We start from the raw sequence: 17,923 nt of genomic DNA, 5'->3' as shown, positions 1-17,923 counted from the left end.
TTAGTGTGGAGACAGGCCCAGAGGCACAAAACAGTAAGAATCAGAGTGGACATCCTTCTGCAAACACAGACATCACCTTAGCCCAGGGTTGGCAAACATTTTCTGTAAAGGGCCAGATAGTAAATATTTTCATCTTTGCGGGCCATACAGTCTCTATCAAGACAATTCTGCTGTTGTGTGTGAAAGCAGCCATAGACAATATGGAAACGAGTGGGTATGGCTGTGTTCCAATAAAGCTTTACTTACGGGCACTGAGATTTTAATTTTGTATAATCTCCATGTGTGATGAAATAATCTTTTGATTTTTTGTGACCATTTAAAAATGTAAAAACCATTCTCAGTTCATGGACTGTACAAAAGCAGGCAGCAGGCCAGATCTGATCCGCAGGCTGGGGGTTGCTGACCGCTGCCCACCACTGCCCTTGCTGGTAGAGCCTCAGTCTTCTGGCTGCAGACTCTCGAGGAATTGACCTAGGTGATTTTCCTCTGTCCATGTACATTTTGAACTGATTATCTTATTTGACCCTTGTGATTCCTCTGTGTTTTCAGTAGGAAAATCTCTGTGGCATTCATGATCAAAAGTTATTTAAAAAGCATATGTTATCTTCTTACCAGAGAACTCTAATTAGGGATGGGGGACCTTCTTAAAGGACCCACACAATTTTTTGTCAGATGGTGAAGTTAGGAATAGAGTTGACACCGAAAAGTCTATGCAAAAACAACAGAGCTTGAATTTAAGGAGGGCTCTCCTTTGGGAAGCTAATATCCAGGGAAACAGAGTGACCAAAGAAAGGCCCGGGTGTCCTCATGGCGGATGGAGGAGAGCAGCTCAGTGGCAGGGGCCCTGCCCCGGGATCTTCTCCCAGGTAGGGGCAGGCTGGAGGGTGAGTGAGGTCTCCACAGTCCCCACATGGTTTCTTTCGCAACCCAGAATGCAAGCCGAGGTGTGTGTGGCTGCCTCTCACTTCCTGTGGGGGCTGCCTGCAGTCTCAGGATGTCCATCTCGGTGCCTGCGTAGATCTCCTCCCCTCCCAGAGGGTCCAAGAGAACAAAAGTGTCTGAGAAAGCCAGAGTGTGACCACGCGGTTTCTATGCTCCAAGGGATTTATTTCAGTGGTAGGTGGAGCAGCTCTGTGGAGCACATGGCTAATGATAATGGATTGACTGACCAGAAGCAGGAGAGGACCTAGCAGAAGCCGGAGGTCAAGCTGCCCCAAGACTGGGGGACAGCCTGGGTGAAGACTCTGGACCTCATGACCATGTATATTCCAGAGGGGGATCTAAAGAGCCCCAGAAATTCACAAAGGTGGGAATGGTTATTTTCACTATTTCAGACTGACAGAAATTATGCATTTATCCAGAGTGACAGTGCAAAGGCAGGCTGAGCTGTTGTTGCTTCCATTGGCAGGAATGAGCCGATCTTATGGACTGACTCTGGAAGAGCAATGTTGAGTGCCTACTTTGTGCCACAGAGGGAAAACCCGTTTATCCCAAGGGCTTTCTCATCTGGGGATGCGCAGACTGTAAACCAAGGCCCCAGGAAACGGTTTTTAACTAATGTGGAAAAAAAAAAATGGGCTTGAATATCCGAAACTTCACTTTAAAAAATCAGTAAGATAAAATTTAAATGATGTGTATTATTTTATTTTGAGACTATTTGCTTCATGCCATCCTAACATATAGTAATAAAATAGCTTTGGCCTGACATTCATCTTAAAGTGAATTAAAAAACGTAATTTAATGAAATGGCACTTCTAAGCTTTTAGTGCAGCAAATTTTCAAATTATCTTGCTTAAATTAAATTGCTGTGCTTTTTTGCTTTCGATACTTATAAGAGCTCTGTTTTGTTTCTGGTTTCATCGTGTTCGCCCTGAGATGATTTTTTTTTAATTGAAATGTAGCATTCATGCAGAAAAGTGCACAAATTCTTAAGTGCACTGATAATGAATGTTCACAAAGTGAACTCTCCTTTGTAACCAGCGGCCAGGTGGAAAAAGAATGTCACTTAAACACTAGGAGTCCCCTCAGGTCCCCATCCAGTCCCAATACACCCCAGTTTCCATCAAGGGTAACTGATAGCATGACTTCTAACAAGAAAGATTGGTTTTATCTATTATGAACTTTATATAAATAAAATTGACCAGAAGCAGGAGAGGACCTAGCAGATGGCAGAGGTCAAGCTGCCGCAAGACTAGGGGACAGCCTGGATGTCCCCCAGTTTGCACTGTCTTGTGTCAATAGAATAACATTATATTTAGGAGATTCATCCATGTTGTTATAAGTAGTAGTTTGTTCATTTTCATTGCTGTGTAATACTGTTTAACATATCAAGATGTATTTAGCCCCTCTCTTGTAAGTGGCCTTTTGAGTTATTTCGAGTTTGGGGCTGTTAGAGATAGTACTGGTAGGATCATTCTTGTGCATATCAGTGGGTAAGCATATGTAGCATTTCTGTAGGATAGGCTCTGGATGGCAGGATCTGGGATCACAGGATGTGTGTGTTCAATGGAAACTGCCAGTTATCAGTGGACACTCCCACTAGCAATGTATGAGAGTTTCAGTTGCTCTGTATCCTTACCAGCACTTCATGGTTTTAGTCTTTATCATTTTAGCCAGTCCTGTAGGTGTATTGGTAATGCGTTGTGGTTTTAATTTGCTTTTATTTGATGGCTGAATTAGAGCATCTTTTTATATGTTTATTGGCCATTTGGATTTTCTGTTTTGTCCTCTCGAGTATTTGTCTATTTCTTTATTGGATTGTCTGCCTTTTCCTTATTGATTTTTAGAGTTATTTGTTGTATATATGTATTGCAATTATGTTCTCCACTCTGTGGCTTCCCTTTGATTCTGTTGATGTCATTTGATGAAGACATTTTTAATTTTAGTATAGTCCAAATTATATTTTCCTTCGTGGTTAACACTTTTTGTGTTCTCTTTTAAGAAACATCTTTACCTATTACAAGGTATGAAGGTGTTCTCTATGTTTTCTTCTAAGAGCTTTATTATTTTGCCTTTCACATTTAGTTCTATTCTTCATCCAGAATTAATTTTTGCATGGTATACGGTGGAAGTTAAGATTCATTTCTTTCATACGGATACCCATTGTATTCATTTCCTAGGCTATTATAACAATGTGCCACAAAATGGGTGGCTTAAAACAGCAGAAATTTATTCTCTCATGATTCTGGAGGCTAGGAGTCCAAAATCGAGGTGTGAGCAGGGTCATGGTCTCTCTGATGAAGGCTCTAGGGAAGAGTCCTTCCTTGCCTATTCCCAGCTTCTGGTGGTGGCCAGGAATCCTTGGCATTCCTTTCTTGGCAGCTGCATTGCTCTGACCTCTGTCTCTGTGGCCACATGGCCGTCTTCCCCACATGTCTCTGTGTAGATTTTTTTCTTTCTTTAAGGACAGTCACTGGATTCAGAGTCCATACTAATTCACTATAACTCATCTTAACTAATCATATCTGCAACAACCCTATTTCCAAATAAGTCAGATGCTGAGGTACTTGGGGGTTAGAACTTCATATCTTTTTGGGGGACACGGTTCAATCTATACTACCCAGTGAACCCAGCATTTATTACTTTTATTTTTATACATTTATATTTTATTTTTATACATTTATGCATACTTTTATACATTTATTACTTCATTGTCACCTTTGCATAAGTTAGGTGACTGTGTAGCTCTATTTTTGGACATTCTATTTTATTCTCTTGGTCTGTTTGGCCTTGCACAAATGTCACACTTTTACTATTACTCTATAGTGAATCTTTGTATCTGGTAGAATAAGTCTTCCAGCCCTGTTCCTCTTGTTCAGGATTAACTTGGCTTTTGGCCCTTTGCATTTGCTTATAAACTTTAGAATCTGCTTGTCAATTTCCATCAGAAAAAAAAGACCTAGTTTAAAAACAAAAAAAATTGGTGGTTCAGTTAAGATGCAATTGCGAGGAGAATTGACATATAAAAATATTGGACTTCCAGCCCATGTACATGGCCCAACCCTCTATATAGGTCTTCTGTAATTTCTCTCAATAACGTTTTGTCATTTTCAGCATAAAGTCTTACATATCTTTTGTTGGACTTATTCCTAGGTATTAGGTATTCTTTTGATGGAGATTTGTGTTGATGAAATAAAAAGCCAAGAGAGAGAAGGAAGGCTTCTACCAGGCTTACTACTTCACATTATTGAGGAATTTTTCCAAGTTTACCAAGCTTAGCAGAACTGAGATTCAGATCAAGATCTCCCTGACTCCAAATCAGAGCTGGGAAAATAAATCAATTATTACTTTAAAATGCAATGTTAGTGAGATAATTCAAAATGTGGGAGGCGCAGGTGGATAAAACAGGTCCTTGGTAGGGAACCCCTGGTAGATGCCCTTGGTCTCCAGTGTTGCAACATTGAGAACGTGCACGTGGGCTGGAAGAGATGTGAGAGAAGACTCAGATACTGGTTAGGGGTGGGAGACTCGATCTGAGATTTTCAGTGTTCTTAGGACTTTAGAGTTACCCAGAAGTACCAGGTAGGCCAGGAGGATGGCCATGGAGGTAGGAGTTTGAGTCCTTTCCCTCTTGAACCAGAGCTGTTCTGTTGCACTTTTATCTAATATTTTGGAGTTGAGCCCTTCAGAATGTGTGTGTGTGTGTGTGTGTGTGTGTGTGTGTGTGTGTGTGTGTGTGTGTATCTAAGGTTCAGAACTACCAATAACAAGAAAAGAATTTTTTTTTGAAATAAAATGGTTCCCATTATAATGGATTCTCCAGGTATGTGGTGTGCTAGCTGGATATCTTTTGGCATAATTGTTACACATTTGGCATGGACACACACACACACACACAGTTCTGATACTAAAGAATAGCTTAAAAACTATCAGACTAGTTATTCTTTAACATTCCGTTCAGCCCCAAGGTTCTGGGATTCTGATATTGTAGCCAACCTAAACTCAAGGGGCTCTGCACACATCATTATTAACTTTGATCTTGGCAGCATTGTGATACTGTGTGTATTTCATGGGCCTTCCCCAGAGCCACTCCAGAATGTCTACTTGGAGGGACTTGGGAGTAGTAATCCGGTTGGAAGAGAGCTAGACGTGTCCAGCAGCTGCGCTTGCATCATAGCAAAGCAGTGTTTCTGTTCAGACTGTGGATTGCAGATCTTAGGAACAGCTTAATTTAAAAGGGCAAGTCGGAAGAATTCAAGTACACTACAGAACAGAGTTTTTGTTTTATTTTCTTTTTTTCCTGATACATGTGATGTGATCACCTGACAGGGACTCATTACCAGTAAGAAAAGAAAGACATGATTATTATAACTGTATGCTTCATTCTCATGAGTCTCATAGAAGCAGAATTGTTGTTTTTTCCTCCAGATAGTCAACTGATTATTCCAATGGCATTTGTTTCTTTTATTTATTCCCCAAATAAACTGGGTACTCATGGCCTTAACGTTGAAATATAGTAATAATAATATGAAATGATATCAGTACTACTGCTGCTACTACTACTATTGCCTGGGGGTTGATGGGGATTGGAGATGGGGAGCTAAAGCCCTACCCCCACCCATCCAGTCATCCATTTGCATGACTCTGCCCACCCATGTGTGCCAATGAGCCCCAAATCTTTATCTCTCCAGTCCAGCTTCAGAGCCATGGATGCTGGGACCCCTACACCTGGCCTCTAGGGCAGCTGAGCATGAGCTTATATTGGTGCCTTGCTCAACAGTGAGCCTCTGATCCCCTCTAGACCTGGCAATAGCCAATGAGAAGGGAGCAGCCAGCTTGTGACCTTCCTGCCCCCTCATTCTGTGGTCATTAATTCCTTTCTGCTGGCTGAGCACCTTCCATGCTTATCTCTTTTTCTATTCATCTCTCCTCCTCCTCCTCCTCTTCTCTCTCTGCTGTTTACTCCCACTCAAGCAAATAATAAAACAACAACCACAACCTTGCTTGAGTCTGCCCTCCTGTTGGAGTGTAGCCAGAAGGACTCTAGCCCCTGCAGGCAGGGGAAGCAGATGGGTCAGTGTTGCCTTCTCAGAGCACCCCTCCCACCTCCCTCCCACCCACTATATCCAGTGAAAGGGAAGGCCACAGTCAGTCAAAAGTAAGCTCAGTTTCCTAGGAAACCCTGTATTTTCTAGTTCCCATCCTCCTCCCTGGCAATTGGGCTTTGTTTGTATGCTTCCTTGTTTAATGGTTTATTTCACCATTTGGAACTCTAATTTTTCAGACAATCAAGTTTGGGCTTGCAGAGAATATTGTAGCATGGCAGGTTGTAGGACTATACTATATTTTAAATTGACAGTTATTTTTGTGCACAAGCTTCCCAGCTTGTACCTCATGTTGCACAGGATAGCCATGGGCACAGAGAGCTTTGGAGGGGAGTGGAATTCATGCTCCCTGTCTCCCCTCACCCCCATTCTTTGCTTTCGAAAATGAGACTCAACAAAGACTCACACAGCAGTTCCTTAGCAAGTGGGCCCTGCAAGTGTGTGTTAGCTGTATCATCAGTCTATACATGCTAGAGGAAGAATTGGAATCTCAGCTACAAAATGTATGTAATTTGGTCACAGAGGTGAACGAAAAAGGATGAAGCCCTTTGAATGCAACAGAATGACTAGAACTGTCTCCTCTGTGCAAGGCATTGGGTCAGACAAGGTGCCAATGGTTCGAAGATACATTTAGCCTGCATTCTTGCCCTCAAGGACCTGGCCATTTTCCTTGCAGCAGATAGCGTGAAAAGTTGTACAGTAGAGGTATATAGAGAGTAAGACTAATTCTAGTGGGGGAACTGGGCAAGAACTTCAGGGAGGGATTTATACGAGAGCTGGCTTGAGGGACAGGTTGGTTCTGTATTCTTGCAGGTGGAGATGAGGGCACAATAAGAGAGGAAATAGGACAGGTGAAGGCTCCGAGGAGGGACAAGTGAGAACAGCAAGTGCTCTGAGAAGGCAAGGCATGAGGGAGGAGGAAAAAATGAAAGATACGGCTGATGTGGTGGGTTTGGAATGATGGTGGATGGCTTTGAGTGCAAAGCTGAAAAGTTTGTGGAAGTCATTGGTCTTTCTAGCAGTGTCACCAAGCCCTGAGTTTCCTGGGAGCTGGCTTAGGCACTGCAGGGGAAGAAGTCTGGTGTGCCAGCTGCTCCCCCAGTTATAGAGGAGAGAGTAGCTCCTCTCATCTTCATTTTATATACAAGGATATTGTCTGTCTTTTGAGGAGTGTTCCACTTTGAGAAAAACTAAAACCCATTGGCATATGCGTGAGACCCATTAATTTATTCAGTCAGTCACTCAACAGATATTAAATGCCTACTGCATACCAGGCCCTGTACAAGGTTGTACTGAAAGACCGTTGAAGATTTTTGAACTGGTCAGTTGCCTGGTAGCAGGGGTGCTGGGTCTTGAGTTAAAATCCTGTCTTTGCCTGGAGGCATCACGCTACCTGACTTCAAACTATACTACAAGGCTAAGTAACCAAAACAGCATGGTACTGGTACCAAAACAGAGATATAGACCAATGGAACACAACAGAGCCCTCAGAAATAATACGACACATCTACAACCATCTGATCTTTGAAAAACCTGACAGAAACAAGAAATGGGGAAAGGATTCCCTATTTAATAAATGGTGCTGGGAAAACTGGCTAGCCATACGTAGAAAGCTGAAACTGGATCCCTTCCTAACACCTTACAGAAAAATTAATTCAAGATGAATTAAAGACTTACATGTTAGATCTAAAACCATAAAAACCCTAGAAGAAAACCTAGGCAATACCATTCAGGACATAGGCATGAGCGAGGACTTCATGTCTAAAACACCAAAAGCAATGGCAACAAAAGCCAAAATTGACAAATGGGATCTAATTAAACTAAAGAGCTTCTGCACAGCAAAAGAAACTACCATCAGAGCGAACAGGCAACCTACAGAATGGGAGAAAATTTTTGCAATCTACTCATCTGACAAAGGGCTAATATCCAGAATCTACAAAGAACTCAAATAAATTTACAAGAAAAAATCAAACAACCCCATCAACAAGTGGGCAAAGGATATGAACAGACACTTCTCAAAAGAAGACATTTCTGCAGCCAACAGACACATGAAAAAATGCTCATCATCACTGGCCATCAGAGAAATGCAAATCAAAACCACAATGAGATACCATCTCACACCAGTTAGAATGGCGATCATTAAAAAGTCAGGAAAGAACAGGTGCTGGAGAGGATGTGGAGAAATAGGAACACTTTTACACTGTTGGTAGGACTATAAACTGGTTCAACCATTGTGAAAGACAGTGTGGCGATTCCTCAAGGATCTAGAACTAGAAATACCATTTGACCCAGCAATCCCATTACTGGGTATATACTGGGTGTATACCCAAAGGATTATAAATCATGCTGCTATAAAGATACATGCACACATATTGCGGCACTATTCACAATAGCAAAGAGTTGGAACCAACCCAAATGTCCATCAATGATAGACTGGATGAAGAAAATGTGGCACATATACACCATGGAATACTATGCAGCCATAAAAAAGGATGAGTTCATGTCCTTTGTAGGGACATGGATGAAGCTGGAAACCATCATTCTCAGCAAACTATCACAAGGACAAAAAACCAAACACCGCATGTTCTCACTCATAGGTGGGAATTGAACAATGAAAAAACTTGGACACAGGAAGGGGAACATCACACACCAGGGCCTGTCATGGGTTGTGGGGAGGAGAGAGGGATAGCATTGGGAGATATACCTAATGTAAATGACAAGTAAATGGGTGCAGCACACCAACATGGCGCATGTATACATATGTAACAAACCTGCACGTTGTGCACATGTACCCTAGAACTTAAAGTATAATAAAAAAATAATTTAAAATAAAAGAATGTGGCACGTATACACTATGGAATACTATGCAGCCATAAAAAAAGAATGAGTTCATGTCCTTTGTAGGGACATGGATGAAGCTGGAAACCATCATTCTCAGCAAACTATTGCAAGGACAGAAAACCAAACACCACATGTTCTTACTTACAGGTGGGAATTGAACAATGAGAACACCTGGACACAGGAAGGGGAACATCACACACTGGGGCCTGTCGTGGGGTCGGGGGAGGGAGGAGGGATAGCATTAGGAGATATACCTATGTAAATGACGAGTTAATGGGTGCGGCACACCAACATGACACATGTGTACATATGTAACAAACCTTCACGTTGTGTACATGTACCCTAGAACTTAAAGTATAGTAATAAAAAAAAAAGAAAAAAAGAAAAAAAATTCCTGTCTTTGCCACCCACTAATAAGAACTTGGGCAAGTCTCTTGGCCTTGATGGACCCGTTTTCTCCCTGTAAAGCATAGGGTTGGGCTGCTAAATCCTTCCCAGCTGAGACAGTCTGGGAGTGACATGAGAAGTGCTGTAACCAGAGTTTGTGTGTGTTGGGAAGCGGGGAAAAGAGAGGCCAGAGTCAGAGAGAGGTGGTGATGGCAAGAACTTCTGTGAGTCTGAGTGAAGCCTTTCATTTATTCATTCAACAAACATTTCATATTCAGTGCCAGCTACTGTGCTAAGCACTGGGAAAATAACAGTAACCAAAACAAAATTCGTGCCCTCAAGGCACTATCTGTAGGGGGTGGCAGAGGAGCTGGGAACATGGGAGATAGATCTAGAGATGTAGTGTGAAACTTATCCCATGGGATGACAGTTGGGACAGTGGAATTGTATGTACCAGGAAAGAGATAGCAAAACAGTATTGAGAGAGAACGAGTTCTGAGGAGACAGAACCTGGGAACATCCTGTGGAGAACCAATCAATGTTCTTCCACTCCTTGATAGAAAGCACGTTTCTTCATCAAGTCAATACAACAAACCTAACCCCAGAAATATGCTCTTGTGGCTAAGAAGTTAGGACACACCAAAGAGATAATGTCCATTTAGACATCCATTTCTCCTTGACTCTGTCACTTCTATGTGTGAAGCAGAATTAGACCAAAGCCACGTATGATTTTGTATAATAGCTGGTCTATTTGGTTTCCTCAGAAAGGTCTTTAATAAGTACCAGTGATACGTATAAAATACGTATGGGTGGCTTCCCAAGTGAACTGCCAGTCCCTCAAATCTTTTCCCAGACCAGCTGGCTCTTTTATTTTTTTTCCTTTTCCCCAAGTAATTGGAGCAGATCCAGAAACAGATTTGGAGAGCCTCAAGCTTTTCCTTTTTTACCCTTCAGTAATTACATATCACAGGTTGTCTTCCCTGTTAGAGTCTGAAGCTGAGCAATTAGTCTCCCATTGTCTTTGCAGGAAATGACATATCAGTGTGGCTTCTGGGGAGGGCAACTGTTGACCATCCTGGTTAAAATAATTTGGAAAGTGTTCAGCATTTCCTCCAGTTGATCGTTTAGACTGGCTGATTTAGAAAGCTGTTGGAAATGTGCAAATGTACCATGGTTATCAGGACTGGAAATACTATGGGGTCAGTTCCCTGAGCAAAACGAGTTTCTCAACTATGGCTTTGATCTCTGGACCTACTGCCTTGTCCCTCATATGATTGAGCCCAGGGCCTTGGCATTCTGTTCTTTTTATAATGCTTTGTTGGAGACTGATTAGTCAGGATGTTTTCCAGCTGCAGGTAATTGAAAACCCAAGTCAAGGAGTCCTAAACAAGAAGACATTTCTTGGAAATACAGAGATGCCACAGACTTCAACGCCAACCTAATGCAGTAACCTACACTCTGCTTCCCTGTGTTTGTTCTGTCTCTGGACCAGCTTTATCCTTATACTGAAACAAAATAGCTGTGGAAGTTCTAGGTGGCGCATTCCACACTACATTCAGAAGGAGGGAGCTTCTCCCAAAGGAGTGAGTAGAAGCTCCCAGAAAAACATTCTTCACATCTCATTGGCTTAAATTGGGCCACATGCTTATTCTTAAACCAATCACTGGCAGTAGGAATGGGTATCTCTTGGATCGATGCTTCTCAAACTTCAGTGTGCACACAGATCACCTGGGGAAACTTTCAAAATCAATTCTGATTCAGTTGGCTTGGGTGAGGCCTCAGCTGACAGCTCTTACAAGCTCCTGGTTGATGCGAATGTTGCAGGTCAGCACACTGCAAAACCTTGGACTGTCCCGCCCCCACTCCCAGCTGGGCGTGCTGCCATGTGCCCATGAGCACTGTGGGTGCAGAAATATGGGGGCTCTTTTGGGAAGAAGAAAGAGGGAATGACCACATGCAGATGAGAACTATATTAGAGATGCTTGTTTTCAGTGTGTAATTAGCATTTTAACTTTATACCGGGAGTCATACAATAGTCTGTGATATGTATTAAAAGCAGAATTGTTACGTGGGAGCACTCACGAAAATTTCATTCATTTATGGTGATGCAGGCGTTGCAGCTCTTGAAACAAAAGATTAAACAGTCATGCCACCCGTTTTGTTATCATTCAGCTATTTTTATTGGTAATGAATACCATATATCTGGTGTGTCTCAAAAAGAACAAACTCAAATGAAATGGATTGAAATAGCCTTAAGTATAAAAAGAGTGTGCCAAATCCAGCCTTTGTTCTGTGAGTGGAAATCTCATCAGTCATGGTTATTGGGGAGGGAGAGTACACCCCCACTTGTCCTAAGAGTCACTTGTCATGATATTGGGTATGAAAAATGCTGCCAATGGTGAATTTCTGCCAAAGCAAATGGTCACAATGCCCTTATAAGTGGTTTTCAGTGGAGAAAGTCATTATGCTCTATTCGTTTGAAAAGGAAGAACTGTTCTGTTATTTTGTTGTGCTTGACAAAAGATACACAGGATTCCTGAGCTGCAGCTGTTCAGGAAAAAGGCTGATAAGATGGAGGGACCAGTGTCCACGCTGAGGCTGGACAATCACAGGCTCAGCGTGCTTAGCATGAAGTATGTGGACAAGCACTGAGTAGACCTTCCCAAGATAGTCACTGTGGTAGTTGCTGTCCTGGACCTCATGTGCAAAGACAACATCACCCAGGAGGGGACATGGAATTTCACTGCTCAGTCTATTTGTCCCACCTGCCTCAGAACCACCGGTTCACATCTGTGAGACTGATGGGAAGCTGGAGCTTGGTGTGGTCTCTTGTAGAGGCCAGAGCAACTGTACCTGGCCTCACCAGCATGGATCACCAAAGTGCCCATACTTAGGAAATCACAAGTTGTGTCTTGTCTATTCAAAGGACCTGAAAGGTTGAGAGAGTATCTGCTACTCTGGGCTAGCTGGGGAAAGCTGCTAGACTTGAAGCCCCAGGAAGGCAGGCATTATGCTTGTGTCACACAGGCGCCCTCTATATTGACAGAATGATTGAACAGCTAGTCTGTTCCCAGGTGATCTGTCAGTCAACAGCATGGACTAATCACTCACTCTCAAAAGAGAAGTATTAAACAAGACAACATTGTGTTGCCTAACTTCAGTAATTTATAGTCTAAATATAGAATGCTTAGGTGTCCCATCTACATGTTTAGGACCTCATAGGCTGCGAAGGAGCAATGAGATAATATTAATGATTACCTGAGCTCATGTAGGACAAGCAGATTGCACCATTACCCGTGGATGGACTCAGCAGTCCTGATGAGCGCCTCCCTGCTGTGCTGTGATAAGGCGAGGCATTATTAACTGTGGAAGGAGTTTTAAAATAGGGAAGAAGATAGGACCTTCCCTGACAACTTAAAAGGCTGACTTTAAAAGTAGTACATTTATTTAAAGTACCTATATCAAATAAAGTACTTTTAAAAAGAGAAAAATAAAGAGGCATAAGATAATACTGCTTTGGGAAAATCAAGGTGGAAAAGTCAATGAGAATGAAGCTAGGCCTGAAAGCTGGGTCCATGCATGTAATTCAGGGGGCCGATGAAGTTGGATGGGGAAAAACATGATCTCATCATTGTCTCTAACCCTTATCTGAAATCGTACATTTCCTAATATTATGAAAGTAGCATTAGCTATTTGTCCTTAATAGAAATTATGAATATTTTCATAGTTATAGATATTCTGAAGTATCATTTATGCCTAATAGTACTTCAAAATTACAGTATATTAGACTTGTTGGAAATTATTTAAGTATTGAAAGATGTTCATAACAATTTTGTCAAATATTTTGATAACTGTATAAGAGTATACTCTGTTTGACTCCTGTGCATTTCATGTATTAGTTTCAAGCATTTGTAAACATCATTCTGAGAAAGATGTCTTTAGACTGCCATAGCACAAAAGGTAAAGAGCCCCTGCCCTTGACAATGGCCAGGCCTCCTACCAGAGGAGGGATGGCCTGCCTAGAGGCTCAGAGGCCGGACAGGCCTCTGGGCGTTACAGCATTTGATAGGATAATGTCGAAAAGCTGGGGTGAGCTTGAGTGCCAGGCTAACATGACTCGACAGGTAAATTCGCAGGTCATAGGAAGTGGTGGAAGGTGCATCCGTTGAGGAAAGACAGGCTGTGTAGGTTGTGTTTAGAAAGGATTCCTTGTGCAGCCATGAGAGTTGGATGGGAAGGGAAGAAACTGGAGGCCAAGAGACCAGTGTATGCCAGGCATGATGCTGACCAGATGGAGTGTAACGATGAGAATAGGGAGAAGCAATGTGTTCCCAGCACCACTGTGAAATTCTTGCGGGGCTGGACTGGGCCAAGGTTTGCAGTGGAGGTGAAGAAGGCGGTGTTAGTTTACAGGCCCGAGGGACTGGGAGAATGATGATAACAGCTCAGGCTTACTGAGTGTTTACTGTGTGCCAGAGGCTGTTATAAGCCCTTCTATGTCGTGTATGTTCTTTAGTTGATATCATTTAATCCTCATAGCAACCCTATGAGGTCAGTACAGTAATCCCTATTTTACACATAATAAAGCCTAGAAAAGAAAGGTTAGGAAAACTGTCCAGGGTCTCACAGCTAGCTGGCAAGAAGGGAGGATATTACTGGAAAGAAAGAAAAGAGGAATTGGTTTGGGGGAATATGTTGTGAGTTCAACTGCAGATATTTTTCCATTGTTCTCTTGTCTTCAAATATTTCAAAGGGCTAAACATTCAGATATTTATAAGCATAGTTTCTGGTATATTTCATTGTCCAGTTTTAAAATTTTTTATTAGTGAATACTGAGATAATTTGTAAATTGGTTTCATCTTCCTGGGAAAAACAGAGGAAACTGGTAGGTGGAATTTAGTACATCGATGGGTGCCCGAAGCAGAGGAAGAGGTTGCAGTTTACAGAGAGAAACATAATATGTGTTCAATTATTTCTGTTTAATGATGTGGTTTTTCTTTTGTTGTGGTATTGTTTTTCAGGACCAGTCCTGCCTCTGTTGTAGAAGACATGTGGTGTATATAAAGTTTGTGATCGTTGGCGGACATTTTGGTAAGTGTTGCTGCATTTACTTCTAATGCCTCTTGCTGTAAAAGGGTGCTCACGAAGGGAAGCTGTTGCCTTGTTCTGTCCATCTTTTACTTCTGCACTAAACTCAGGCAGAATGGAGTTCTATAATTAAATGTGACATTGAATTGATGTTTTCTGACAGTGTGATACTTTTTCTTGTTATTGCTGATAGTATTAAGCAATATGGGGTTTTCTAAAACGTAATAAGTGTATATTTAGAAAAGTTTCCGGATGCCGGTTAAAGAATACCCTTGGCAGTTTATGTGCTAAGCCAGCCATATAATATAAGAGTAATAAACTTGCAGACCCAAAGAATAAAATAAATTCTCCAAAGCAGAGAGATCCGTGTGACCCATATATTAAAAGAAAGAGAAGCAGGCAGCTTAGGAAATGGAAAATTAAAGGAAGCTACAAGTCCAGCTTGCCTGGGAGCCAGCCCACAGACCAGCATAACAGTGGTCTTGGGAGACCAAGAACGTTCAATTCAGCAACCACCCAGACCTTGCTAGCAGGGAAAGAGGACAGTCTTTGGGATCAGGAGACCCGGGTTAAAATGTAAGTTCTATACCTACTGGTTGTTAGATAACCTCTCTGAGCCTGTTTCTTCTTCTGTAAAATGAGGCTTATCATGTTACCTACATCATAGGGTTGTTGTGAGAATAAAATGAGGTAGGTAGTGCTGGAGCATAGTAAGTGTTCAATAAAGCCAGTCATTCTTAGGAACAGAGCAGCCTTGTTTGGAGACTAGACATTTCCCATTGAAGTCAGGCTACCAAGAGGCATATTTATTTTCCAGCAGGAAGGCAGCTGGGGATGGGCCGGTTACATCCATTTGATGTTGCTAGAGCATCCCAGCTACTCACCACAACCCCTCCTCCAATATTCACTTCATAAGAACCTGTGGGAATCCCTGCAACATTTACCACCTTCTCCAACCCTGGTGACCCATTCTTAGACAAGCTTGGCTAAATAATTCCCTTCCTGCCATCCTCACAACCAGTGAGGTCACCTTGTTTGAGCTGTGTTCATTTTTGGAGTTAATGTCATTTTGAATCACATTTATGAGGAAAGAAGGGTGGGGGTAGATGATACCATTGGTTGGACTTCAGTTGCCATATTTAAACTTTCATTTCCAAACCTTTCTTTTGATTTTACGTTTTTGTCTATGCTTATTACGTAGCCTTCACAGGGATCCAATTGCTGGGCTGAAATTTTTGAGCTTTGACTGAAAGAATTTGGCTTTTGGGTGGGGCCTTTACCTGTGGTTGGGAAACTCAGCCGTGGCATTGCAGATGGGCCAGTGTTTAAGGTCAGATGTCTGTAGGTGACTGTGCTGCCATTTCATAGAATCAAAGAGAGGGACATGGCTTCAAGGGTTGTCTGGCCCAATCCCCTGCTAGCAAAAAAAAAAAAAAAAAAAAAAAAATGTCTCCTACTGATCCCTGACAAGGGAATTCAAATTCTTCCAGAGATGAGGAGCTTGCTGTTGCACAGGGTACCTTGGTTCAATTAAAAGGACAGTTAGGGCCTACAGGGAAACCCTTGTGAGGAGGGGGTATATAGTTGTTCTGTATCTTAGTGCTGGTGGTATTTATGCAGTTGTATGCTTTGGTGAAAACTCACAGAACTGTATAATAGAAAGGGTGAGTTCTCTTGAATGTTAATTAGACCTGAATTTTAAAAATGGAAAGAAAAAAAACCCCAGCATTTAAAAATTGAACAATTAGCCCAACTTGTTAAAAAGAAAGTAAGGAGGCTGGGTGCGGTGACTCACGCCTGCAATCCCAGCACTTTAGGAGGCTGAGGCGGGCAGCTCACAGGGTCAGGAGATCGAGACCATCCTGGCCAACATGATAAAACCCCATCTCTACTAAAAATAGGAACCCAGGAGGCAGAGGTTGCAGTAAGCCAAGACTACGCCACTTCACTCCAGCCTGGGTGACACAGCGAGACGCCATCTAAAAAAAAAACAAAAACAAAAGAAAGAAAGAAAAAAGAAAAAAAGAAAGTGAGGAATACAAAGGAGAGAGGGAGGAGGGAGGAAAGAAAAGCAATCTAGTCCTTATATTGAACTATTAATACAGTATATGTGCTCCATGGGACAGGGACTTGGTCTTGTTCCTCCCTGGAGTCTTGGTGCCTGGATAGTGCCTGTCACATAGAAGGCATAAATGTGTTAAGTATTTATTGAATCACCTATTGCTCTTAGTCACCTTCGAAGTAAGTCCACTCACTTTCTAACACTCCAGCCCACCAAATGTTTGAAGACACTGTCCTTCCTCATTCATCTTTTCTTCTCTGGGTGAATTTACCATCTCCCGGGCCTGGCCTCTTTGTCCTCTGATGCTATTTTCATATCCCTCCCCATCTGGCAGAGCTCCTTGAGGAGGCCTCTACTTCCCCACACCTCTCCTGTGCACCTAGGCCAGCATTAGACACGCTGCCCCACAGGTCTGGCCCACGAGGAGCACAGAGGGTGCATTGCTTCTGTGGATGCTGTTAATAGACACCCAATCCTCTTCCTTCACAATCAGTATGAAGTGTCTGGTCATGGATCATAAAGGATTTATTTAGTGCAGTCTTCTAAGAAAGGAGCTCCTAAAAGTAGGGAGGGTGGCAGTGCAAGAAAGAGCCCAGGCGCAGCTCATCCTCTTACAGGCCTTGTCTGAAATGAAGCCAGGTCCTGGCACCCTCAGTCTGAGGCAGCATGGTGCTGTTGATGGATCTTTAGAGGCAGTGCTGTGTCACAGATTCCGATTTTTCATTACAAGTCATAGGAAGTTTGAAATTCTTCAAACTAAACTTGTGGGTGCCTTGAAAAGCCTAGGTTTCTTTTTTCTGGCCATGCCAAGGAATGATATATAAACACGTAAATACATAGAGCAGTGGTTTTCAACTGGGGTTAGTTTTGCCCTCCCAGAGGACATTTGGTAATATCTGAAGCCATTTTGGGTTGTCACAGTTAGGGGAGGGAGGAGGGTGTGTGCTAGTGGCATCTAGTGGGTGGAAGCCAGAGATGCTGCCAAATGTCTTGAAATATATCGTAGATCAGTAACGCACACTCGTGCACACATGCAGAATAATCGGGCCCGAAATCTCAGTAATACCAAGCTGAGAAACTCTGAGATTATAAGTAATTTTTAAAGTGTAAATATTTATAAAGTACTTATTATTTTGAAGGTTTAAAAATGGAAATATCTTAACATTTGATTTATGTAAATATACAGCTAAAAAACTTAAATTCGTTCAGAAAATCATCAGAGTGGAAAGGCTGCTAAGAGGCTATCCCTTCTATTACCCCTAACTCCAAGCGAAAAATGACCTAAATGAATTCAGACAGACAGATGGGCCTCTGACGGCTTATACAGAATGACGGTCAACTAAAGATAAAAACAAGACTCACACAACATGATCCCAGCATTTACACAAAGAGATTGTCTCGTATTTTAAATTTTAACCCCAGCTTCTTCAGATGTGTTAGTCATTTGATGACCTCTAAGATTAAACGGTATTTCAGTCTGGGCTAGTCTTTCTTTTTGAAT

The 17,923-nt window shown here is 42.2% G+C and overlaps 1 protein-coding gene across 12 annotated transcripts in view, besides 1 other annotated feature; it reads left to right on the top strand.

The window, feature by feature from the left end:
- FYN (FYN proto-oncogene, Src family tyrosine kinase) overlaps positions 1 to 17,923 on the top strand; it is a 213,121-nt gene that overhangs the window by 78,524 nt on the left and 116,674 nt on the right. For 9 of the 12 annotated variants that reach the window (XM_047418569.1, XM_047418561.1, XM_005266892.5 and 6 more), the window contains one exon: positions 14,294 to 14,363. The gene's annotated coding sequence lies outside the window, so the exon portion shown is untranslated. Of the gene's footprint in view, positions 1 to 985; positions 1,307 to 14,293; positions 14,364 to 17,923 lie in introns of those variants that run through there. The other 3 variants (XM_047418572.1, XM_047418568.1, XM_017010650.2) reach the window with 1 other exon arrangement.
- Positions 12,169 to 12,463: a silencer, noted in NCBI's record as "tiled region #12906; K562 Repressive DNase matched - State 8:EnhW". NCBI's record gives its function as "represses a minimal TATA promoter and a strong SV40 promoter by Sharpr-MPRA in K562 cells {active_cell/tissue: K562}" and the evidence as "EXISTENCE:reporter gene assay evidence [ECO:0000049][PMID:27701403]".

The sequence above is a fragment of the Homo sapiens genome, chromosome 6 (genome assembly GCF_000001405.40).
Source record: "Homo sapiens chromosome 6, GRCh38.p14 Primary Assembly".
In the NCBI taxonomy this organism is placed as follows: Eukaryota; Metazoa; Chordata; class Mammalia; order Primates; family Hominidae; genus Homo; species Homo sapiens.
The sequence above is the reverse complement of the archived record's forward strand: the minus strand, read 5'-3'. Positions and strand labels throughout refer to the sequence as shown.